This window comes from Homo sapiens, chromosome X (assembly GCF_000001405.40).
Source record: "Homo sapiens chromosome X, GRCh38.p14 Primary Assembly".
Lineage (NCBI taxonomy): Eukaryota > Metazoa > Chordata > Mammalia > Primates > Hominidae > Homo > Homo sapiens.
This window is the reverse complement of record NC_000023.11, coordinates 53,561,299-53,586,627: the sequence shown is the minus strand read 5'-3', so window position 1 is coordinate 53,586,627 and position 25,329 is coordinate 53,561,299. Positions and strand designations below refer to the sequence as shown.

Genomic DNA, 25,329 nt, shown 5'->3' with positions numbered 1-25,329 from the left:
TTCCCAATTTGTGCAGGTTTCTTGCTTTCCCAAAACAGATCATTTTTCTTTTTTAGGTGGATCACACCAGTGTTGCTCCTGATTGATTTCTATGAAAAGACAGCCATCTCCTCAAAAAGGAGAGCCCAGATGACTAAGGTGTGTAATGTAGTATGTATGACTGCAGGACGGTTTAGCTTCCTGAGGCAAGAGTAGACCAGAAGAGAATATGAGAGAGTAGTGAAGAATATAGAAGTCTCTGACCAATGTATAAATCTCTTAAGGGATTTTCATAGCTAGGTTTCTCTTCTGAATAATTTACTCTGGAAGTAAATTTTGAAGGAGTGTGCTATCTCCAGAGGAGGAGCGGCTTTTCTGTTATGTAAGGGACTGAGTATACAGCAATCCTACCAAAAAGCAAACACTCCTTAGATGAAGATTATTGTGCCACATCATCTCACTACCTTCTTGGAAACAGAATTTTTGTTTCAGTACATCTCAGGTGAACATTCCCCTTTTAGGGAAAATCAGTAGAAACAAAAGGAAAGTAGAAAATGGCAAGATAAGGGGCTGTAGATAGTTTTTTTGTCTAGGAAAAGTATCTTAGTCCGTTTTGCTGTTGCTATAACGTAATACCACGGACTAATTTATAAACCATAGGCTGGGCACTGTAGGCTCACGTCTGTAATCCCAGCACTTTGGGAGGCTGAGACAGGTAGATTACTTGAGTTCAGGAGTTCAAGACCAGCTTGGGCAACACATGGTGAAACCCCATCTCTCCAAAAAATACAAAAATTAACCAGGCATAGTGGTGTGTGCCTATGGTCCCAGCTACTCAGGTGGCTGAGGTGGGGAGATCACTTGAGCCTGGGAGGCAGAGGTTGCAGTGAACCGAGCCGGCATCGCGTCACTGCACTCCAGCCTAGGTGACAGAGTCAGACCCTGTCTCCAAAAAAAATATTTAATATAAACTGTACAAGTTTATTTGGCTCATAGTTCTAGAGGCTGATCTAAGGGACCACATCTGGTGACAGCCTTAGTGCTGCATCCTTCTATTGCAGAAGGTGGAAGAGCAAGAGGTGTCCAAACTCGCTTTTATAACCAACCCAGTCACAATAACTAACCCAGTCCGTGGATAATGACATTAATCCATTCATGAGGGGCGGAGTCCCCATGACCTAATATTATCTTTTATTAGGCCCCACCTCCCAGCACTGTTAAATTAGGGATTAAGTTTTCAACACCTGAACTTTAGAAGACATGTTTTTAAGCGTGTAGCAGAGAGACTAAGGAATGTGAGAGTAAATGCATATGAAAAATGTTCTTTTGGTTTTTAAAATTTATTGTCCAGTATATTTCTTTTTCCTGGGTGAGTTTTAGCAGTGAACACTGATGAAGTTACTATTTCTTCTAATCAACCTTGAAAGAAATACAAAGAAACTTTGTACTTTTATGTTTAGTACCTGCAATCCAACAGCAACAACTGGCGCTGGTTTGATGATCGCTCTGGGCGTTGGTGTAGTTACAGTGCAAGCAACAATAGCACTATTGATTCTGCCTGGAAATCTGGAGAGACAAGCGTGCGATTCACTGCAGGCCGAAGAAGATACACGGTCCAATTCACTACAATGGTGCAGGTACATGCTCACTCACCAAGCTTGTCTAACCCGTGGACCACAGGCCACATATGGCTCAGGATGTCTTTGAATGCAGCCCAACACCACACATTGAGGTTTTTTTGTCGTTGTTCTTTTTAGCTTATCAAATATCGTTAGTGTAGTTTATGTGTGGCCCAAGACAATTCTTCTTCCAGTGTGGTCCAGGGAAGCCAAAAGATTGGACACCCCTACTGTAAACTTTATCAAAAAGAGGGGTATGTGTTTTGGTTTTCTTCTTTCTGAACCAGCATTCCTAACGTGTTAGGAGGAGGAGAGTTACCATTACCTAATTAAGTATAGATTTCAGAAAATCGAGTCTTCCTAAGGTCATTGATTAGACCTTGGGTCTGTAGCAATTTGATACTATCCCTCTTAGAAATGATTTTAAGTGTTTAGTCAAGGGCTAGGGAGTGGTTAGGGATGGTATTTGCTCTGTTGGAAGGTCTACAGTTCATTATAAGGCCTTGTGTATGCCACTTGCCTTCTGGGGACTTTCAGGTTTTTTCTCTGTAAATGATAAAGGTGGGATAAATTGCCAGAGTTCCTTCCTGTTGTAGCATTTTACCTGGGAGATGTCCCTCCCCTCCCCCACCTTTATAATTCATTTTTGGTAGAGGTTTTTTTAATGTCTGTTTGAATTCCTAGGTTAATGAGGAAACAGGGAACCGACGCCCTGTGATGCTGACTCTCCTCAGGGTACCTCGGCTGAATAAAAATTCAAAAAACAGCAATGGACAGGAACTAGAGAAGACGCTGGAAGAAAGCAAAGAAATGGATATCAAACGTAAAGAAAATAAAGGCAATGGTATGTACCAAGAGTGTTTTACCTAAAGCTAATGTGCCTTTGTGGCTTAAGGTCTGGCCAATTTCATTGTGAGTTATTTTCATCAGCTTGATTAACAGATTAAAGATACGTAGGCCTCCCTTATGCTTTTTCATCTGATCTTAAAATTGGTATTTGGCATGCTTCTCTTAATAGGACCCAAGTGCTTGGCCAATTACTTAGGAGGGAGGCGTGGGAGGAAATAAACATCAAGTTAAACTGTCTAAAACTGTTATTTTCCCATTTTATAGATACCCCTTTGGCCCTAGAGAGTACAAACACTGAAAAGGAGACAAGCCTGGAGGAAACAAAAATCGGGGAGATCCTGATCCAGGGCTTGACAGAAGATATGGTGACTGTTTTAATCCGGGCCTGCGTGAGCATGCTGGGAGTCCCTGTGGACCCAGATACTTTGCATGCCACCCTTCGTCTCTGTCTGAGGCTCACCCGGGACCACAAATATGCCATGATGTTTGCAGAACTGAAGAGTACCCGCATGATCTTGAATTTGACCCAGAGCTCAGGCTTCAATGGGTTTACTCCCCTGGTCACCCTTCTCTTAAGACACATCATTGAGGACCCCTGTACCCTTCGTCATACCATGGAAAAGGTGAGTGTGTTTTGTATCAGATTCTGGTTTAGCTTTACATCATACCTATGTTCTCCTTGGTCTGAGAACAAATAGACTTCTGGTTCTTCTTAGGGTATATAGCTAGATATGTATACTGTATACTCCACCCAACAGAATTTTCCAACTCTATGCTTGGGAGCTTGCTTAGGTATGGTAGGATGATCCTATTGCTAGAAAGTCCTCTCCAGCAATCTGGTTTTCTTTTTTTTCTTTTTTTCTTTTTTTTTTTTTAATCTAGGTTTCATTAACCAAGCCAAAAACCGTTAGTAAAGAACTGGGATACCTTCCCCCAAGTTCATACCTTCAGAATCATTCCTTTGTAGGAGTACCTCTCGGGTGTTCAGCCAAGAGACTATTCTCAAAACACTGTATTTTGGAATATAAAAGTATAGTTAAAGCTTTTTGAATGTTTGTAATCTGCCAGGCACTGTGATAGACACTTAACAAATATCCATTGTGCAGATCAGAAAACAGGTTATTATATTTTAGGAAACTTACAAACCAGTGGAAGAAATAGCAACGTACTTATAAAAAATAAAAACATTTGTAAAGTTAAGACAATAGTCTGGGTGTGGTGGCTCATGCCTCTAATCCCAGCACTTTGGGAGGCAGGTAAATCACCTGAGGTTAGAAGTTCAAGACTAGGTGGGTGTGGTGGCATGCACCTGTAATCCCAGCTACTTGGGAGGCAGAGGTTGCAGTGAGCCGAGATGGTGCCATTGCTCCCCAGCCTGGGTGACAGAGCGAGACTCTGTCTCAAAAGAAAAAAAAAAAGAAGACAACAGTGGAGGGTTGAGGGGCAAATGTCCTAGTAGTGAGGCTTTTCCTCCTCAGTACTTAATACAAAATCCTTTCTTCTGCTGATTCTTTGTCATCAATAATGACTGTTAATAGACTTTGCTTCCGTTTTCCTCTCTTGGGACATTGTTTCCCACATTTATAAGCAGTGTTGCAATATGCGTTTTTGTGCCTAACTTTGTTCATGTTTAAGATCGTTACTTAGAGATTTTTAGTAATTGGATCAAAAGGCATTACAAGTATTTTTTAACTTGCTTGCCAGAAAAGTGGTATCAGTTTTTGTATATCTGAGTATACATTTTAGATTCTTCAGACAGTTCTTTACACAGCCTGCTTGATTTCACCTCACATGTGCCAAATCAAGAGAAAGAGAGCTGTTAAAGGTAGCTTGTATGGTGATCCACAGTCCAGGAGATAACCCAGCAGGGAAGGAACAACTATATACAACTAAATTCTGATTTTAGAAACTTGAAATGCTTGAAACGCTTTCTATAAAGAAATGTTTAAAAGTTACAAGTTCAAAGTGCTAGGAGAAAGTGTAGGTCCTCATTGGATGAGGGAAAACTTTTAAAGTTTTAACTTTAGGTAAATTATAGTTGGGGTGTGGGAAACAAAGGAACATCAGTGACAGTCTTAACGTATCAAGATGGCAAAATGTAAAGTCTTGGTACTATTCATTGCTAGTACAGGTGTGGAAAACCAGGCATACTCTTAACTTTCGGTAGGAGTGGAAATTGGTGTAGCCACATGGGAGGGCAATTTGGTACTCTTGGTCTAAGATATCCTTTGACCTAGAAATTCTATGGCTAAGAATTTATCTGATAACTAACATCAAGTATACCAAGATGCATATATAAGAGTGTTCACTGTGGAATTGCTTGTAATATCAAGAAACTAGAGGTCTAATGTCCAGCAGTTGGGGGCTGGATAAATTATGGCTTATCCTTAATATTGAAATTAAACTTTTCTGTGTTTATTAAATGGAAATTATTTTATAATTACAGCCAGACAGGCAAGATACAGAGGGTATAATGTGCTAAAGGGCATGATTGATTTGGTTTAAAAAAAAAAAATTAAGATACCAAAAGATGTTTTTCATTGTGAGCATGTAGTTTGTGAAATAACAGATAATGGAAAATAATACAATTGAGTTATTTTCTTCGTGCTTTCATGGATTTTTCCATTATTAACAAGCAATTTTATGAGAAGAGCAGAAGCATAGCTATATGTAAGCCCTGTGTTATCAAGGCAAACAATATATAAATAGTTCAGTATCTCCAGTGGCTATCATTATCTCAGACTGATGGTTGACTTTGAGGCATAAAGAAAATATTTAATTGTGTTCCTGTACACTAAGTGGATTACAGTGTTACATGTTTTTGAACCATTCTGGTTTAAAATTGTGACAGCATTTGGAGAGGCTCAGGAGCTGACATTTTAATGTGGAAGTTATGTGGGGTTTATAGTCTTGACACATCTCCCAGTTTCTATAAAGATCACATGCAGTCTGGTCTAATAATTGATAGTTTTGAGACATGCTGCAACTTTTTTATAAGCCAGGTTTTTTGAATCAAGAAGGGATGGGACGGGACTTAAAAATAAAATGTCATTCTCCCCAAAATCAAAAGCTTTTAGTCTTGGTAACTCTTGACTGCAGTTGTATTTTTAGAAAGTAGTGTTTAATCGACAGTGTTTCTTTCTCTCTTTACTAGGTTGTTCGCTCAGCAGCTACAAGTGGAGCTGGTAGCACTACCTCTGGTGTTGTGTCTGGCAGCCTCGGCTCTCGGGAGATCAACTACATCCTTCGTGTCCTTGGGCCAGCCGCATGCCGCAATCCAGACATATTCACAGAAGTGGCCAACTGCTGTATCCGCATCGCCCTTCCTGCCCCTCGAGGCTCAGGAACTGGTAAGTTTCGCTTGCTCCTGGCCTTTGATATTAAGTTTGTGGCCTGGTATAAATCCAGAAATTTATTTATGAGGAGGTCTGTAACTTGAAGAGCCTCCTTAGGCAAGTATTAGGACATTTGCTGGCTAATTGATTGTTTGGGTCAATTTATTAGGTACTTCAGTAGCTTCTCTGGGCCTTGCCCTGTTGTAATCCCTGCCAGAGACACTGAGGACTCATTCATTCTAGTCCTTCACTTCAAAGAGCTCATTTTGGTGGGGCAGTAGGCTTTACATATAGTTAATGGTTTACAAATCAAGTGATAATTAAGGGTTAAATGGATGTATGTCTCGTGTAACACAGTGCGAAATAGACGTCATCTGTGTATTCCTGCCAAGAAATGTTTGACCTGTATTTAATTATGAGGAAACAATTAGATAAATACAAATTGTGAGATGTTCTATATAAGACAACTGGCCTAGACTCTTCAAAAATATTAATGTTATGAAAGAAAAAATACAGGATCATTTCTTATAGAGAAAAGTAGACTAGAGAGATAATCACCACCAGCCTTGGTTGGGCTGTGGATCCAGATAAAAGATTTGGAGAAATTTGAGTGCTATGTATTAGGTAATGTAATTGTATCTGTTAAATTTGGGGGGTATTATAATGGTATTGCAGTTCTGTATAAAAATACCCTTGATCTCCCCTCTGCTGACTTTTTTGGTAATAAAAAAGAAAATATATGTCCTTGATCTTAGGAGCTACAAGTAGATGTATTTAGGAGTAGTCACTTGGTAATTCTGGATGAAAAGTATATAGATGTTTATTATACTATTCGAACTTTTCTGTAGGTTTGTTGGATTTGTTTTTTTATTTTATTTTTTTTTTTTAATTTTTTTTTTTTATTGATCATTCTTGGGTGTTTCTCGCAGAGGGGGATTTGGCAGGGTCATAGGACAATAGTGGAGGGAAGGTCAGCAGATAAACAAGTGAACAAAGGTCTCTGGTTTTCCTAGGCAGAGGACCCTGCGGCCTTCCGCAGTGTTTGTGTCCCTGGGTACTTGAGATTAGGGAGTGGTGATGACTCTTAACGAGCATGCTGCCTTCAAGCATCTGTTTAACAAAGCACATCTTGCACCGCCCTTAATCCATTTAACCCTGAGTGGACACAGCACATGTTTCAGAGAGCACAGGGTTGGGGATAAGGTCACAGATCAACAGGATCCCAAGGCAGAAGAATTTTTCTTAGTACAGAACAAAATGAAAAGTCTCCCATGTCTACTTCCATCCACACAGACCCGGCAACCATCCGATTTCTCAATTTCTTCCCCACCCTTCCCGCCTTTCTATTCCACAAAACCGCCATTGTCATCATGGCCCATCCCCAATGAGCCACTGGGCACACCTCCCAGACGGGGTCGTGGCCGGGCAGAGGGGCTCCCCACTTCCCAGTAGGGGCGGCCGGGCAGAAGTGCCCCTCACCTCCCGGATGGGGCGGCTGGCCGGGCGGGGGGCTGACCCCCCCACCACCCTCCCGGACGGGGCGGCTGGCCAGGCAGAGGGGCTCCTCACTTCCCAGTAGGGGCGGCCGGGCAGAGGCGCCCCTCACCTCCTGGATAGGGCGGCTGGCCGGGCGGGGGCTGACCCCCCCCACCTCCCTCCCGGACGGGGCGGCTGGCCGGGCAGAGGGGTCCTCACTTCCCAGTAGGGGCGGCCGGGCAGAGGCGCCCCTCACCTCCCAGACGGGGCGGCTGGCCGGGCGGAGGGCTGACCCCCCCACCTCCCTCCCGGACGGGGCGGCTGGCCGACCCCCCCCCCCGCCTCCCTCCCGGACGGGGCGGCTGGCCGGGCAGAGGGGCTCCTCACTTCCCAGTAGGGGCGGCCGGGCAGAGGCGCCCCTCACCTCCCGGACGGGGCGGCTGGCCAGGCGGGGGGCTGATCCCCCCACCTCCCTCCCGGACGGGGCGGCTGGCCGGGCGGGGGGCTGACCCCCCACCTCCCTCCCGGACTGGGCGGCTGGCCGGGCGGGGGGCTGACCCCCCCCCACCTCCCTCCCAGACGGGGCGGCTGGCCGGGCAGAGGGGTCCTCACTTCCCAGTAGGGGCGGCCGGGCAGAGGCGCCCCTCACCTCCCGGACGGGGCGGCTGGCCAGGCGGGGGGCTGATCCCCCCACCTCCCTCCCGGATGGGGCGGCTGGCCGGGCGGGGGGCTGACTCCCCCACCTCCCTCCCGGACGGGGCGGCTGGCCGGGCAGGGGGCTGACCCCCCCTCCCCCCTCCCGGACGGGGCGGCTGGCCGGGCGGGGGGCTGACCCCCCACCTCCCTCCCGGACTGGGCGGCTGGCCGGGCCGGGGGCTGACCCCCCCACCTCCCTCCTGGACGGGGCGACTGGCCGGGCAGAGGGGCTCCTCACTTCCCAGTAGGGGCGGCCGGGCAGAGGAGCCCCTCACCTCCCGGACGGGGCGGCTGGCCGGGCGGGGGGCTGACCCCCCCCCACCTCCCTCCCAGACGGGGTGGCTGCCGGGCGGAGACGCTCCTCACTTCCCAGACGGGGTGGCTGCCGGACGGAGGGGCTCCTCACTTCTCAGACGGGGCGGCGGCCGGGCAGAGACGCTCCTCACCTCCCAGACAGGGTTGCGGCCCAGCAGAGGCGCTCCTCACATCCCAGACAGGGCGGCGGGGCAGAGGTGCTCCCCACATCTCAGACGATGGGCGGCCGGGCAGAGATGCTCCTCACTTCCTAGATGGGATGGCGGCGGGGAAGAGGCGCTCCTCCCTTCCTAGATGGGATGGCGGCCGGGCAGAGACGCTCCTCACTTTCCAGACTGGGCAGCCAGGCAGAGGGGCTCCTCACATCCCAGACGATGGGCGGCCAGGCAGAGACGCTCCTCACTTCCCAGACGGGGTGGCGGCCGGGCAGAGGCTGCAATCTCGGCACTTTGGGAGGCCAAGGCAGGCGGCTGGGAGGTGGAGGTTGTAGCGAGCCGAGATCACGCCACTGCACTCCAGCCTGGGCACCATTGAGCACTGAGTGAACGAGACTCCGTCTGCAATCCCGGCGCCTCGGGAGGCCGAGGCTGGCGGATCACTCGCGGTTAGGAGCTGGAGACCAGCCCGGCCAACACAGCAAAACCCCGTCTCCACCAAAAAAAAAAAACGAAAACCAGTCAGGCGTGGCGGCGCGCGCCTGCAATCGCAGGCACTCGGCAGGCTGAGGCAGGAGAATCAGGCAGGGAGGTTGCAGTGAGCCGAGATGGCAGCAGTACCGTCCAGCTTTGGCTCGGCATCAGAGGGAGACCATGGAAGGAGACCGTGGGGAGAGGGAGGGAGAGGGAGAGGGAGAGGGAGAGGAGGGAGAGGAGGGAGAGGGAGTTTTTTTTTTTTTTTTTTTAATAAAACGTTGGGAAGGGGATGAAATTATTTTGGAAGTTCCAGCTATGTGCCTGCCCCTGTGCTGGGCATTTCTCAGTTATATCCTCATTTAATCCTCAACATAAATTTGGAGAGTGAGAAAATTGAGGTTTGTTGAATTAACAACTGGATTTCAAAACCAGTTTTCTCTAACTCAAGCCTTTACTATTTGGTACTGCTATATTAAATCCTGTGGAATTTAAGGAAAGTATAAACCAGGTTTTATAGTAGAGTACTTGAACATTAATTGAAAATGGTCTCCTATCTCAAGCCTTCTATATCATACATGCCCCCTTCTGAGTCTTTATTAGTAACCTAGTTTAGGTACTGCTTCATGATTGACTGGTTTTTCTCTCTCATTTTGGCTTAGCTTCAGATGATGAATTTGAGAATCTTAGAATTAAAGGCCCTAATGCTGTACAGCTGGTGAAGACCACCCCTTTGAAGCCCTCACCTCTGCCTGTCATCCCTGATACTATCAAGGAAGTGATCTATGATATGCTGAATGCTCTGGCTGCATACCATGCTCCAGAGGAAGGTATGTGGCTAGCCTACCTCAGGAGGCTGGGCACTAGAGGATATGTTACTTTGCCTGGGTCATTTCAGCCAACTCATGGCTTAGTGAGCACTCACTATGTGCCCATACTCTGGGGCTCAAGATGAATAAGATACCCATTGCATGTCTGTGAAGAAGCTAATAGTCATATAGTATGACATACCAGGATGGTGGTAAGTCCTTAGGGTGAGGCACCTTACCTAGTGAGGGTGCACAGGTAAGAAAATTTCTTTGTGTACATGATTTCTAAAATGAACCTTGAATGGATGAGATTGCCAGAGTTCTGTTATATGAGAATACACACCATACGGGGGAAGAATGAACAAAGATTTAGAAGGAGATAATAGCATTCTGTGAGAGGTTGAAAATAAGACACCAGGAAGTCTCTAATGTTTTCATACTCAAGCAAAACCTTTTTATTGTCTGAAGAGCTGGAGGCAATATTAGGAGGTGTGTCTGAGTTTCCTAACTGTTGAGACCACCACACCCATCCACCTTTATTCCTAGTTAAGGTGCATCTTATAAGCATTAGGAAAGTCATGATTGATTTGCTTGGAACATAGGTTTCCATTATAGTAAGGTCCTTCTGGATTTTATTCAGGACATACTTATTTGATAGGTCCACAGAATTGCCAAAAATTGATGAATGCTGCCTTTAATAAGCAAAAGAAATCTGAGTCTTGACCTTGGTGCTTTTCATCTGTACAGAACCCTGATCCATATAGAATTCCTTGGTTCTCCTATCACCCCAGAATCTTTACCCTATCTCTTATCACCTCCCCGAAATAGTTTAGCTATATAGCTGTGGCAACCATTTATTGACCCACCACTGCATGAGCAATAGTGCCAGGTATGTTCACTTAAGGTTTGTAGTTACAGCTTAGGAAAGTGAGACTAAGTTAATTGCCTGTGGTCACAAGACTAGTTTTTGTAATTTTAGGGTGAGGCACTCTAACATTATCTGTAATAGCACCATGTAAACAGTCATAGCCACTTGATGTGAAATTGACCAAGACTGACTAGATAGGCCTTAACATTGTCCAATTGTAGAAGAGGTTTATTTTGTTTTTGATGGTTGTTACTGTTTTCCTAGCAGATAAATCTGATCCTAAACCTGGGGTTATGACCCAAGAGGTTGGCCAGCTCCTGCAAGACATGGGTGATGATGTATACCAGCAGTACCGGTCACTTACGCGTCAGAGCAGTGACTTTGATACGCAGTCAGGTTTTTCCATTAATGTAAGTCAATTCCAACAGCGTTTTATCTTTCTTCTCATTTTTCAATGCCTGTGTGGTCTCAGTATTTAGGGCTATCCCCGGGGAATTTCAAAGATATTAATTGTGATGTATCTGTAAATTATCTGTTGCCTGTAAAGACAAAATTGGGGTGTCCCTGGAGACTTTTTTTTCTCTCCTAGGATTAGAACTGTTCTTTAATTTTTTTTCTTTTCCCTTTCCTTCCCCGCCTCCCCCACAGTCTCCCAGTCACTGTATTTATAATAGCCTCCCACAGATTATAGTATAAAGGTGTAAGGTGGTTAAAAGGTTGGCCAAAGAGAATCTGTGGCATTCCCAGCCAGTGCCCTGGGAAGGAGTTCTGCCATTTGCAGACGGGTGCTTTTGAAATTCATAATAGCTCAGGAGTTTTCTTCTTCTTCAGAGTCAGGTCTTTGCTGCAGATGGTGCCTCCACTGAGACTTCCGCATCTGGGACCTCCCAAGGAGAGGGTAATGATTTGCTTTTCTCACTACCATGTTCTTATTCCTTAGGAAAACAACTTGAAAAAACTGTAGGTGTCCTGTGCAGGGGGTAGGAGAATACAGACTTAATTATTACGTTTACTGGTCTAAGTGAACTTTCTCAGGTGAGCTCAGTGTTCTGTAATAAAGGGTCTCTATATGCTAAAGTTAATGGAACTGTAAGTTAACCAACCTAGTAATGGTTGCTGTGGTAACATATTTTAGTTTTACTTTTTAAATCACACCATAATTATTTGGGGGGTTTCTAAAAACTGGCTTATAGAGATTTTATGCCAGTGATATTGTTCTAGCTACATGCTTTACGTGGTGGATGCCTGTCTTCCAGCAATGTTAACAGAGCCCATTGACTACTCACCATGAACTAGAAAAATGTCCCTGGGAGTAAGTCTAATGAGACCTTTAAAGAGCTGCTTCTCCTTAGATAGGAAAGGTCTTTGTGATCCAATTTAGGAGACATTTTGTTTAAAATCATACTAGTTCCTGGAGATAAATTTAAAAGGCTAACATTAGTGAAATAATTGGTTAACTCATTTTACTGGGTTTACTGGCCATATGTAGTGTATAGCGTGGATGATGGTGCTGATTCAAGGGAAGCATTACCCACTATGTGGCAGACTATATTGGACACCAAAATGGATCAGATTTGTTCCCTGTACTTAAAGTACTTTGTCCAGTGACTGAGACCTGCAAGAGTTATAATGCAGGATAACTGCCAGAATGAAGGCATACTTGGATAAGATATAATGGACATGTAAAGTATCTCACAGTATGTCTAGATGAGACAGGAAAGCATTTATGGAGGAGGTCAGCATTTGAGCTGAACTAGATAAAAGTGTGCCAGGCAGACGGAAGAAAGAAGTAAGGGAGCAAGACAAGTTTGAAGAACTGTTAGTAGAGTGTTTCTGGAGTATGTAAAAGGAGGGAAATGGAGGGAGATGCACAAATAGTTGGACAAAGCATCCCTGTTGTACTGTAACCACATAAATCTGAGACCTGAGTTATCCTGGTTCTCTGCTCTTGCACTGCAGTGTCACGAGAGCATTCAGTTTGTACAGGTGGCTTAAAGTGGAGGAGAAATAGCATTCTTTTCCACCTAAGACTTGATTTTGCCAGTGTTCCAGTGTGGAATTGAACCAGTGTTTGACTTTTCTCAACAGCTTCAACTCCAGAGGAGTCTCGAGATGGGAAGAAAGATAAAGAAGGGGACCGGGCCTCTGAGGAAGGCAAACAGAAAGGCAAGGGCAGCAAACCTTTAATGCCTACCTCCACTATCCTTCGTCTTCTGGCAGAGTTGGTGAGGTCCTATGTTGGTATTGCTACCCTGATTGCCAACTACAGCTACACTGTGGGCCAGTCTGAACTGATCAAAGAGGTAATATTTCCAACTTCTATTTAAGATGTTACACTGTACTTCCATCATTTGGGTACCGCCTGTGTCAGACACTGCTGGGAAGCTGTGCATGCTAAGTGCTAACCCAAGTAATGAGTGAGAAGAGGCATCTTCAGACATGCAAGGCCGGGTGCGGTGGCTCACGCCTGTAATCCCAGCACTTTGGGAGGCTGAAGCAGGCGGATCACCTGAGGTTAGGAGTTCGAGATCAGCCTGGCCAACATGGCAAAACCCCATCTCTACTCAAAATACAAAAAGAAATTAGCCAGGCGTGGTGGCGGGCACCTGTAATTCCAGCTATTCGGGAGGCTGAGGCAAGGGAATCACTTGAACCCAGGAGGCAGAGATTGCGGGAATCACTTGAACCCAGGAGGCAGAGATTGCGGGAATCACTTGAACCCAGGAGGCAAAGATTGCAGTGAGCCAAGATCGCACCATCGTACACCTGCCTGGGTGATAAGAGCAAAACTCTGTCTCAAAAAAAACCTGAAAGAGCTAGGCCTTTTTTCATTAGGTTCACTGAGAGAGAGAGTTAATGAGATTTGTTCTATTGAAAGTCCCTTTTTATGCATTGTGGAGATTGAAGAGGGAAGACTGGAGTCAGAGAGAACAGTTAGGAATCTGATAGAGTAATCTAGTAACGTACGATCTTGGTGAAGTTGGAGGAAAATGGGTGAGTTGAAGAAATATTTTTAAGGTACAAATGGACAAGAATTGGGTTTGGAAGATGAAAAAGGAAATTAAGACTCAAGGATGTTTCTTGATTTGTGGGGGTTTTTTTAATTGCTTTTATGGGTTGGCATCTAACAAGAAAATAGAATGGGGTGGGGAAGGTTTGAAGAGAAAATGAGGAGTTTTGAGAAGTATCTGTGGGACATCTAAGTAAAAGTGTCTAAAGGACAGTTGAATAAACCATATAAATAAGAATATAGGTGTTCATCTTCCAGATGTACTCACACATGTGCAAAGACACCAGATGTGGTAGCAGTATTGGTAATAAAAATAAAGGAAAAGCCTTAAATGTTCATTAGTAGAGCTGTGGAAAAGAATGAAGTGTCCTGATGCAGAATTATCCTCAGGTTAGATTTTTTAAGTGAGTGGGGCATTTTGAGAAACTGTATCACATGTTCCCGCATATGTAAAATGGGTGCCCAAATATTTTTTCCCGTAAGGGTGCCTTGTTTTGTGGATCACATTGTAATTTTATGGTTAGTAAGTGGCAAAAGGGTCTGAGAGTGAGTAGGGGCACTAGTGTTGCCATCTTTGAAAGCAACCGCCATTTTTAAAGCTATTCTTACTTTAATCCAAGTTTAATATACATAGAAAAATACACAAATCTTAAATAGTCTGTTTTTCCTAGGTAACCACTAGCCAAGTTAAATAAAGCATTACAAGCTCCCTAGAAGCTGCCCTCCTTGTTCTTTAGTGCATCTCCTCCCACCCATTTCACCTTCACTCAAGATAACCATTATCTTGAGTTCTCGTGCCGTAATTTGGTTTTGTAGTTCATGTAAATGGAATCTCATAGAATGTACTCTCTTTTTTGCCTGGCTTCTTTTGCTTAACATACTTGATTCATTTTGTGTGCAGGTGAAGTTTATTTTCATCTGTATAAAATTCCACTGTGGAATGTACCATGTACCAAAACAAATACATCTTTTACCCATTCTACTGCTAATAAACATTTGGGTAATTTTGCCTTTGGAGCTATCACAGATAGTGCTGCTATGAGCATTCTTATGAATATATATAAGTTCGTGAACTACCCAATTTCTGTTGGGTAGTATATGCCTAAGAGTAAGAATTGCTGAGCTCTAGAGTATGATAGTTGTTCTGCTAATGCTAAAAGTTTTCCAGAGTGGCCAGGTCAGTTTATATTATTACCAGCAGCATATGGGAGATCAACAGTTGGTGTTTTTTCATTTTACTGATTTTAATGGGTTTGTAGTGGTATTGCATTATAGTTAAAATTTACATTTCCCTGTTGACCATTTTTTTCATGTCTTTATTGGCCATTTGTTCATTCTCTTTTGGGAAATGTCTATTCAGCTCTTTTACTCTATTTTCCTATTGAGTTTTTAAAATATATTCTGGACATAAGTCCTATAAATACATAAATAGGCTTCCTTTTTTTAAGAGTCTCACTTTGTCTCCCAGGCTAGAATGCAGTGGTACAATCATAGCTCACTGCAGCTTTGAACTCCCAGGCTCAAGTGATCCTCCCACCTTAGCCTCTCAAGTAGCTGGGACCTATAGGCACATGCTACCACGCCCAGCTAATTTTATTTTTTGAGGTCTTGCTATATTGCCCAGGCTGGTCTCAAACTTCTGGCCTCAAGTGATCCTCCCGCCTCAGCCTCCCAAAATGCTAGGATTACAGGCATGAGCCATCACACCTAGCCAGGCTTTATTCCAAAGCTTTAACTCATTTATGCCAGTTGTATTCATAATTTATAATAGTATTACCTGTGGGTTAACATATTTAATTACAAATTTATTAAGTATCTGCCTAATATGTGTCCAGTGTCCTACCAGTACTGGGTACTGGTAAGTGCTTTATAAATACTATTGTTAATCCTCACCTCCACACTGCAAGGTTGTTGATAGTGATCTCTTTAATAGAGGAGAGAAGGCTCAAAGAGGTAAGTAACTTGCCTGGGACCATACTACAGAGTAGCAGAGCTAAAATTGGAAGCTAGGGCTATGATTCCAAAGCTAAGTCCTTTCTACGTGGTTATTGAGAAAATAGTTTTAACTTTGTATGTATTCACTACTGGGAAATTAATTGTTATTTCTAATTGTTTTGTTTTGACAAGGTCACTTTATTCAGTTTCTCAGACTCTCAAATTATTCAATGCATTTTCTTTATTGAGGTAAAATTTATATAAAGTCAACCATTTTAAAGTGTACTGTTGAGTGGCATTTAGTACATTCGCAGTGTTGTGCAACTGTCACCTATGTAGTTCCAAAAATGTTCAGTGTATTTTCATCCAAAATTTGCTTGAATGACAATAGAATTTGTTTCTAAGATAAGGAATTGTCTAGGCAGGAATTGTAGTTAGAGAAAAAAGAAGAGTCTGACTTAATTTCCTTCCTCTATTGAGCCTTTTTCGTTACTTTAAATAACCTTGCATTAAATATTTTTGCATATTAGTTTCTGTGACTCTGCTGTCTCTTGCTCAGCTCTTACCAGCTTCTATTGTAGCACAGGGTCCTGGGCACATTGTAGGTGTCAGTAAATAATTTCAATTTAATTGAACACTGAAGGGTTTATAGCACTTAATTAAGAATCAAGGTTTGAATCCTCAGCCCTTGATTAAATTCTTCTGTGCAAGCCACTTCTTTAGGGGGCTTCAGATTACCGCTTATCAAATGAGAAAATACTTATCTATTTATAGATTTGCTGTAAGTAGTTCTATTAAATATCACATGTGAAAATATTTTAAGATAGGTGCAATAGCACATGCCTGTAGTCTCAGCTACTTGGAAGGCTGAGGTGTGAGAACACACACACAGGAGTTTGAGACTGTGGTGTGCGATGATCATGCCTGTGAATAGCCACTGTACTCTGGCCTGGGCAATATAGCAAGACCTCATCTTCTTAAAAACATTTTAATAAAAATAAAGTTTTTAAAAAATGTTTTTAAAAATACATGACATCTACATAACAGTGTATAAGCTGTGCAGTGGGAAATGGGTGGCATTTGGAAGTTTTCTAAAATCTGGGTTTGCTCCTTACTTGCTTGTATCTTTGAGCCTTGGCTTCTTCATCTATAAAGTGGACCTAATAATCACTCATTGGGTGACTTAAGGAAATACTATGTGTGTGTGTATCTTTGGTCCTGTGCAAATGATATGGCATAATTGTGCTTGTAAGTAAATGTCGTGATTCATGACTTTTCAGGACTGCAGTGTGCTAGCTTTTGTTCTGGACCACCTGCTCCCACATACCCAGAATGCAGAAGACAAGGACACCCCTGCCTTGGCCCGCCTGTTCCTCGCAAGCCTGGCTGCTGCAGGGAGTGGCACAGATGCCCAGGTGGCCCTAGTGAATGAAGTAAAAGCAGCCCTTGGACGGGCACTGGCTATGGCTGAGAGTACAGAGAAACATGCCAGGTAAGATTCATACCTGTCCCAGGGCTAATAGCCAAGAACATCCCCTTATTCTTCTTCTTAGTCCATGGGTGGTTTTGCACTTGAACAAAACTTCTTGTCATACTGGCATCATATACTCTCTGGTCCGCTCAAATAGTTCTGGCGGTTGGAAATAGCCAGAGCACTGATTACCATTAGAGTAAGTGGGTAAACCTAGAGAAAACAAAGGGAAATGTTAAGTGTACTTTTAAGGTCTTCAAGGAAGTTGAGCAGGTTATTTGATCTTATATTTTAAATTTTATTTAAAGTAGGGGCTGGGCACGGTGGCTCACGTCTGTAATCCCAGCGCTTTGGGAGGCCAAGGCCGGTGGATTGCCTGAGCCCAGGAGTAGGAGTTGAAGACCAGCCTTGGCAACATGGCGAAACCCTGTCTCTACAGAAAATTAGCTGGGCGTAGTGGCACGCTCCCGTAGTCCCAGCTACTCGGGAGGCTGAGGTGGGAGTGTCACTTCAGCCCAGGAAGGTTGCAGTGAGCCAAGATTGCGCCACTGTACTCCACCCTGCTACAGAGTGAGACCCTGTCTAAAAAAGAGAAAACGAATGCTATCACCTTAGGGAGTGTGTTCTCACCTGTTTGTTTAGATGTTATTTCCAGAAGGAAATACAAAAGTTACAGGAGGGTTATCTGAGGCTATTTTGTGAAGACTTGGCCTGAGAAATGGCTATATTCATATGATAGAGATGTCAAAACTTCTCTCCCAGGCTTCAGGCAGTGATGTGTATCATCAGTACTATCATGGAGTCCTGCCCCTCCACCTCCAGCTTCTACAGCAGTGCCACAGCGAAGACCCAGCACAATGGCATGAACAACATCATTCGGCTTTTCCTGAAGAAGGGACTGGTTAATGACCTGGCCAGAGTACCTCACAGCTTAGACCTGTCCAGGTAAAATCATGCCCCAGCCCCAGGCTTTTCCTTCTCTTCAGCCTCACTACACGAATGATGTGGAGGTAGCTGGTGTAGTGGGAAAACTTTGGGTACAAGTGGGAGACCCAAGTCTTTCTTATTGTGGCTTTTAGCACTTGTCTTTCTTAAAGCCTTGGTTCTTACTTGCTATAAACTCAAGAGTTGAACTATAATAGTGATTTTTTTTTCAAGCTTCCCCCCACTTTAAAAATTACCACTTATTAGAAGATTATATGTATATTATAAGAAATACAGATGAGTAAAAATAAGAAGTAGACACTGTATTCCTACCACCCAGATACCATGATTACCTTATTGGTTTATTATTCAGTGTTTTTCTTTGCATGCATAAATAATGTATTCTTTACTAACATGATATGATACATGCTATTGTGTTGGGGGAAATTTGGGGCATTTTCGTTTTTATTTTCAGTTACTGGTCACTTCCTTGCTATGAAAATAAGTTTCATCCTACCTAATGCCCAAATCCATAATTAAGCATTTTTCTCCAAACCAGAATCCAATTAAGGACTTGTATTACATCTGGCTATGTTTTCTGAATCTCTCTTATTCTAAAACAATTTTTTTTCATTATTTCGATCTTTATTTTGTTTTTGTTGTTCATGATTCCAGCTTGTTGAAGCGACCGTGTTTTTGCCTTCTAAACTTGGTGCAGTTGCTTCCTTGCAGTGTAGTTTAACTTAATCCTTTACTTCCTGATATTTTCTGTAAACTTCTAGTTAGATCTAGAGGCTTTAGAGGCTTATTGAAGCAGTTTAAACATTTTGGGCTGAAATGTGTAGCCTAGGTGATGTATAGCTCATATTGTATCGTGGGAGACACATCTCCCATGATAATTGTCACTTTTTGTTCTTACTAGAAAGTCATCTCTGTTGTTATTTTGGCACTTTACAAATGTCTACACTATCAATCATATACCTAAATAATAGCCTTAACATCAGTTGATAATTCTTGCCTGGATCAATTAATTTCTTTGAGGCTTATGAATAAAAGCTTTCTAATTTCTCATTTCGAATACATTATTAACTGGCATTTTTCTGTGTTAGCCTCACAGGGAATGTCTGGTTGTGCTAAAATATAATTTCTATTATAAAGGCAGTATAAAAACTTAATTTCTTTCTATTTACATTTGAGATTCAAATGTAGGTTTTTTTCTGGCTTTCTATTTTTAAGTCGTATTATGGACTCGACTTTTCATGTTTGTTTTGTTTTGAAACTAGTGATTGAATTTATTTGGATCACTGCAGTCACTTTTTCATGCTCAAAATTATTACACCTTTGACCTATGTGGCCCCTTCAAGATGACTAAATTGTCCTTTTGCTACAAACCTATCAATTTTTTGAAACATTTATAAATGTCAAACTCACAGTACTGTAATGAACACCATGTGTCTACCTAGATTAACCACTGCTGAACATTTTGCTTTATTTCTTCCCTTCCTGTCCTTTCAGGAGCTGAATCATTTGAAATTAGTTGAAAACACTGTAAAACTTTACCTCTAAGTACTTGATCATCTGTCTCCTAAGAACAAATATTCCTTTATATGGGTACAGTTCCATTGTCATATCCAAAAAATTTACCAATAATATAATAATACTAAATTTATACAATTTTATATACACATACTCCCAGTTATTTCAATTATGTCTTTATACTCTGAGGGAGAGTGTTTTGATCCGGGATTCAGTGAGTATCACATGTTGCATTTGGTTGTCACATTTTTTTTTTTTATGACATTTTCCTGTTTTGATGAATCCAGGCTTGATGTCTTATAGAACATCTCACAGTCTACATTGATGTAATTGCTCCCTTAATGGTTAGGGTCAGGTTAAACATTTTTGGCAAAAATACTACATGGGTGATATTTGCCCTTCTCACATCACGTCAGGAGACAGGTGAATACCACTTGGTCCCAATACTTGTGATGCTAAATTTGATCACAGCCGAGGCTGGTGGATCACTTGAGCCTAGGAGTTCGAGGCCAACCTGGGCAACATAGTGGGACCCTGTCTCTGCAAAAAAATACAATAATTAGCTGGACATGTACGCCTGTAGTCCCAGCTTTTTGGGAGGCTGAGGTGGGAGGGTGGTTTCTGTTAGATTTCCACTTTGTAATGAATAATTCCATTACTATCATTATTCTTTCTGATACTCAGCTGGGCCTGTGGTAATGATCCCATTAATTTTTTTTCCCCATTTTTGTTGTTATTTTTCCTCTTTATAGAAACAGGATCTCACTATGTTGCTCAGGCTAGGCTCAAGCAATCCTCCCATCTCAGCCTCCCACAGTGCTGGGATTACAGGTGTGAGCCATCACGCCCAGCTGTCCCATTAATTTTTGAAAGCTTTTTGGCACAATGAGATATCCCAGGCTTACCTTATCCCTTCCTTGCCCTATTCCTGGGATCACTTGTTCTGACGAGTCTTGGTTACTTTTAGTGTGATGTGATATCAGAGACTGCCATCTTGGTACTACTAGTGAGCATATATATATATATATATATATATATATATACACACACACACACACATACATACATACATACATACATACATAGACTCACACATAAATACACACATAAAGCAGATAAAAGCAGAGCTGCTCTGGTGTTAGTGGGCACCTGGTTGGTCTCACACACCTTATTACACTTAGAAATCATACCACACCTCCAACTGCAGCCCCTATTGTACTTTTATTGAACTCTAGGAAGCCCTACAGAGTATAATTTGAAATTCACAGGACTTCAAACTGTTATCAGCCGGGCGAGGAGGGCAGGTTGCCTGAGCTCACGAGTTCGAGATCAGCATGAGCAACATGGCGAAACCCCATCTCTACAAAAAATAGAAAAATTAGCTGGGCATGGTGGCTCACGCCTGTAGTCCCAGCGACTTGGAAACCTGAGGTGGGAGGATCACTTGAGCCTGGGAGGTGGAGGTTACAGTGAGCTGAGATTGTGCCAATGTACTCCAGCCTGGGTGACACAGCGAGACCCTGTCTCCAAAAAAAAAAAAGGAAAACTTTTATCATGTTCCTTCCTTTGAGCTTTTAGGGTTTGGGGACTAAATGCTGGTGGTTTAAAAAAAAAAATCCTGAGTACATCCGAGAAGTGGCTTGCTTGCATGTGGTCATCCAGAATACATTCTGATTTCCAGTCAAGAATTTGTTACTCATGTGCTTTCCATGGCCCCATGAAATATGGCATTGATTTAACTCTTGCTTTTAGGGTGGGTTCCTTGAAGACATTTAAGTCAAAATTTTTTTTTTCTAAACAAAAGTAGAGTGTTAGTTGTACGACCTTATGCCCCTTTTCTCTTAGTAGATTCCATTGTAAGAAGCTTAGTGTCATTTAGAAGATAGACACCTAGTATTTCTGTGCTCAGTCCATCTCTTTATCTTCCCTTATCTCAGTCCCAACATGGCCAACACAGTCAATGCTGCTCTGAAGCCTTTGGAAACACTTTCCCGGATTGTGAACCAGCCCAGTAGCCTTTTTGGCAGCAAGAGTGCTTCTAGCAAGAACAAGTCTGAGCAGGATGCCCAAGGAGCCTCTCAAGATTCCAGTAGCAACCAGCAGGACCCAGGTAGGGAATCAGAGCCAATGGACTGGAGAGGTGGGAGTAGTTGCTTTATGGGCCTGGGATCACAACTGTTCTGGCTTGGTGGTGTTTCCCTGGGAACTTGCTGGCCTTCCAGAGATCTGTCATAGTGGCGTGGGAATCTGCCCCACAAAGAATTCCTTCAAAATGCAGCCTTGTTTGGCTATCCTCACACGTAGCCTTGTCTTTTCCTTTGTCACCCATTCGTTTATTCTCTGAGAACTTACAAACTTGCCCAAGGAAGGGACCTTATTGTCTTTGCGCTTGCCTCATGGTGCCCAGCACATAGGCACTCTTTGATTATTTTGCTGGTTGGTTGATTGTTTCAGGCGAGCCTGGGGAAGCAGAAGTGCAGGAGGAGGATCATGATGTCACTCAGACAGAGGTGGCAGATGGGGATATCATGGATGGGGAGGCTGAAACCGACTCAGTGGTGATTGCTGGGCAGCCTGAGGTGCTCAGTTCACAAGAGATGCAGGTAGGGAGGCAGATCACCCAGCATTTCCCTGTTGCGGCGCTGAACCAAACCCTTGCCAGGTGGTGTGGGTGGGTGAGTACTTTAGATCCTTGCCTCAATGCTGGCTGCTTTGCAGAGGAGCATGGGTGATATGCTTAGTAGATGCTCAGTAAATGTGTTTGTACTGTATTAAAAGAGGGGTGGGGGCAGGGCCAGGATGCCATGTACTATGAAATGATATAGATCCCAACCAGAAAACTTAGGCACAGGTGAAATGTTGAAGTAGAAAGCTGACCTGAGACCGTTGGGCCCCGGGTCTTTGATTTACTTTGGCTCTGGTCATTATTGGAAGCTCCTTAACACCACCTTATGCCTATAGCACCAGCTCTTGCTGGGGCATTAAAACAGCAGTCTTCTAAAGACCCTAAAGGAAAGCATTGTAATTTCTGGAGCTGGTAGCATTGGGTAAGAAATTGGGCCTGTGGTCCTAAGCTGCTGGCTTTAAAGAGATCTATTATGTCTTCCTGGACAGTATAAAGACAACCCAGTATCAGATAACTGGGATGGACCCATTTGAAGGATAGTCTGGTTGTGGATTGGTAGCACGTGGTAGTTTCTGTGCTAATTAGCACCGAATGTGTGGTTTCACGTAACATCCTCTGTCACATGTTATCCTAGAAATGTATGCTGCTTTGCTGGCCTTTTTTAGGGTTTCGGTGCTAGCACAATGATAGACTTGTGTGCATCCATATATATGTTCTATTTCTCTCCAGGTTGAGAATGAGCTGGAGGACCTGATAGATGAGTTGCTTGAGAGGGATGGCGGATCTGGGAACAGTACAATTATAGGTGAGAGCCCCAGAACTGAGTATAGCCTCTTCCTTTGCCTCAGTCTCTCTTGGGAGGACCCTTTTTCTCATCATCTGCTTGCTCAGCTCTGCCTAAGGGCTCATAGCCAGCCTAGATCGCTGCTTGTCTTGATGTTGACGGTCTTACAGATGAGAAATTCACAAGACGTCTACAGGCCTGTGGCAGTCTAAAGTGTTGCCTGTGTGGGGGAGGTGGTGGGAGTGGCCATTGATACAGATGATACATCAAGCACATCAAAAGAGTGTTTATTCATGGAGGCCTAGAGGAGGCTGTAGGGTGAGAAAGCGCTGCCTTTCAGTTCTTCAATGAAGTCCAGGGGCTTTCTGCCCCTGAGTCTCAGTAGTGTAAAAAGAATGATCATTCCCTGAGGGTGGCCCTTTATAAATCTCAGAGGGAAAATGGCAAAGGTACCCTACTGTCACCTGGCTCTGAGGGTGTATGTGTTACTTGTTTTTACTTTGTTGATCAAGGAAATCAAAGGATAAATGGAAGTAGACACGTATTCTTAAGTTTTACAAAGCTTTTTTATACCCAGTATCCTCTGTGGTTTCACAATTAGTGGGATTGGCAGGGCAGATGTGATCATCCTGTTTTACAGATGAGGAAACTGAGACTCAGACAGGTAAAGTGACTGGCCAAGCTCACCTAGCTAGCTGACAGCAGACAATCCAGGTCTTCTCCCTCATCCAAAAAAAAGTGGATATCTGCTAGGTGTACATAGCTACTTTAGACGCACCCAGTCTGGAAAGGGAAGTCCTCTGTTGTTCAGTGAAGGCTCTGCTCTGTAACCTTCAGTGAGCAGAAGTGGAGAGGATGAATCACAAGAGGACGTGCTGATGGATGAAGCTCCTTCCAACCTCAGCCAAGCTTCCACCTTGCAGGCCAACCGAGAAGGTGAGAGTGCCGAGGCCAGAAAGGCCTCCCTTCTTGCCCTGCACGTCTGACAGACACTACACTAGGGTTTTCCTGGAGGCAGCTGCCCACATGTGCAGAATAAGGAAGCATCTGTCTGCATGCGCTGACATACACCATCCACTTTATCCTCAGCCAGTTTTTCAAATAACATGTTACTACTGCTTGCCCAAAGTTTGTCACTTCTTACTTGGTTCGCTTTCTTCTCACCCACCTGCTATCATCGCTCCAGGTTCCCTCTTGCCAACAGGATATAGTCAATAGCAAAGTAGGGCTGAAAAGGCAAGGGGGCACCAGCAGACTTGGCCAAGTCCTAGACCATGGCTCCTCAAGCACCACCCTCTAGCCAGCCTCCACATTCAGCCACCCTGCTCAGTGTGTTGATGCATTGATTGGCACTCTCAGGAAATCGGGTCTGGCTCACTAAGTCTGTACATCACCCCAGATCTGGTTCTTCCTCTCATAGAGTCAGATATCCCATCACCTTCCCACTCAGCCTGCTGGCCTGCACAGTAGCCTGTTTTCTAGCTACTCAGTTTAGTCCTCCAATGTGCTCCCTTTGTTTTAGATTCCATGAATATCCTGGACCCTGAGGATGAGGAGGAGCACACTCAGGAAGAGGACAGCAGTGGCAGTAACGAGGATGAGGATGATAGTCAGGATGAAGAGGAGGAGGAGGAGGAAGATGAGGAAGATGATCAGGTGAGGGGGGACTGCGTTTGGGTTGGTTCAGATGACCTCTTCCATGGGAACATAGAGCTGCAGAAAACCAACAGTCTGGGTTGCTAGCCTCAGCGTCTCCCTCCCTCATGTGCACATGTGGCCATGGCACCAGGCTTCAGAAAACCCTTACCTCCAGCAATTCTCCATCTCCTATTTTCCCTTAAGGAGGATGATGAAGGTGAAGAGGGAGATGAAGACGATGACGACGATGGCTCTGAGATGGAATTGGATGAGGATTATCCTGATATGAACGCTTCTCCCTTGGTCCGATTTGAGCGCTTTGACCGGGAGGATGATCTCATCATTGAGTTTGACAACATGTTCTCCAGTGCTAGTAAGATACAGGGGCTCAGCTGGGTTTTTCTCTCTTGATTCTTATACCCTTCTCTAGGGTAAGCCAAGCAGTGGACCAAACCGATCCGATACAGACAGCACTTCTTTTCCTATGCTGACTTCCTGGGGCAAGGGATATCTGAATCCATCTGTCTCATTAGTGTATACTTAGGAGAAGGAATAGTGAGAGGCTGCTTTTGTTCCCTTCACCTCAGTAAATAGGCAGCCATTTTAGAGCCTGGACAACTTGATGATTTGCTTGATTAAAAAAAAGAAAGAGACCAAGGCTGACTGCATCAGGCACCCATGTGCACACCACAGTGGCAGGGCAATCAATAATCCTTATGTCCATAACACAAGATCTTGAGGGTTTGAATGGTCACCTTTGAGCTTGGCTTTGGGGAGCAGATTTGAACATACTCACTCTATTCATCCAGGATGCGTCTTTTCGGGAGAAC

At 43.9% G+C, this 25,329-nt stretch overlaps 1 protein-coding gene across 50 annotated transcripts in view, besides 1 other annotated feature; it reads left to right on the top strand.

Moving 5' to 3' along the window:
• HUWE1 (HECT, UBA and WWE domain containing E3 ubiquitin protein ligase 1) overlaps nt 1-25,329 on the top strand; it is a 154,624-nt gene that overhangs the window by 100,092 nt on the left and 29,203 nt on the right. For 27 of the 50 annotated variants that reach the window (NM_001441049.1, NM_031407.7, XM_011530747.2 and 24 more), the window contains 17 exons: nt 57-138; nt 1,440-1,616; nt 2,283-2,442; nt 2,712-3,070; nt 5,602-5,797; nt 9,561-9,728; nt 10,840-10,985; nt 11,407-11,473; nt 12,664-12,878; nt 16,801-17,012; nt 17,754-17,936; nt 21,389-21,561; nt 21,906-22,054; nt 22,807-22,882; nt 23,699-23,797; nt 24,384-24,517; nt 24,704-24,872. In NM_001441049.1, the coding sequence (NP_001427978.1) occupies nt 57-138; nt 1,440-1,616; nt 2,283-2,442; nt 2,712-3,070; nt 5,602-5,797; nt 9,561-9,728; nt 10,840-10,985; nt 11,407-11,473; nt 12,664-12,878; nt 16,801-17,012; nt 17,754-17,936; nt 21,389-21,561; nt 21,906-22,054; nt 22,807-22,882; nt 23,699-23,797; nt 24,384-24,517; nt 24,704-24,872 (2,765 nt within the window). The remainder of the gene's footprint in view (nt 1-56; nt 139-1,439; nt 1,617-2,282; nt 2,443-2,711; nt 3,071-5,601; nt 5,798-9,560; nt 9,729-10,839; nt 10,986-11,406; nt 11,474-12,663; nt 12,879-16,800; nt 17,013-17,753; nt 17,937-21,388; nt 21,562-21,905; nt 22,055-22,806; nt 22,883-23,698; nt 23,798-24,383; nt 24,518-24,703; nt 24,873-25,329) is intronic. The other 23 variants (NM_001441048.1, NM_001441051.1, XM_047441736.1 and 20 more) reach the window with 5 other exon arrangements.
• Nucleotides 23,668-24,867: an enhancer, noted in NCBI's record as "MED14-independent group 3 enhancer chrX:53588722-53589921 (GRCh37/hg19 assembly coordinates)". NCBI's record gives its function as "activates an origin of replication core promoter dependent on BRD2, BRD4, P300/CBP and CDK7 cofactors, and independent of MED14, by STARR-seq in HCT116 cells {active_cell/tissue: HCT116}" and the evidence as "EXISTENCE:reporter gene assay evidence [ECO:0000049][PMID:35650434]".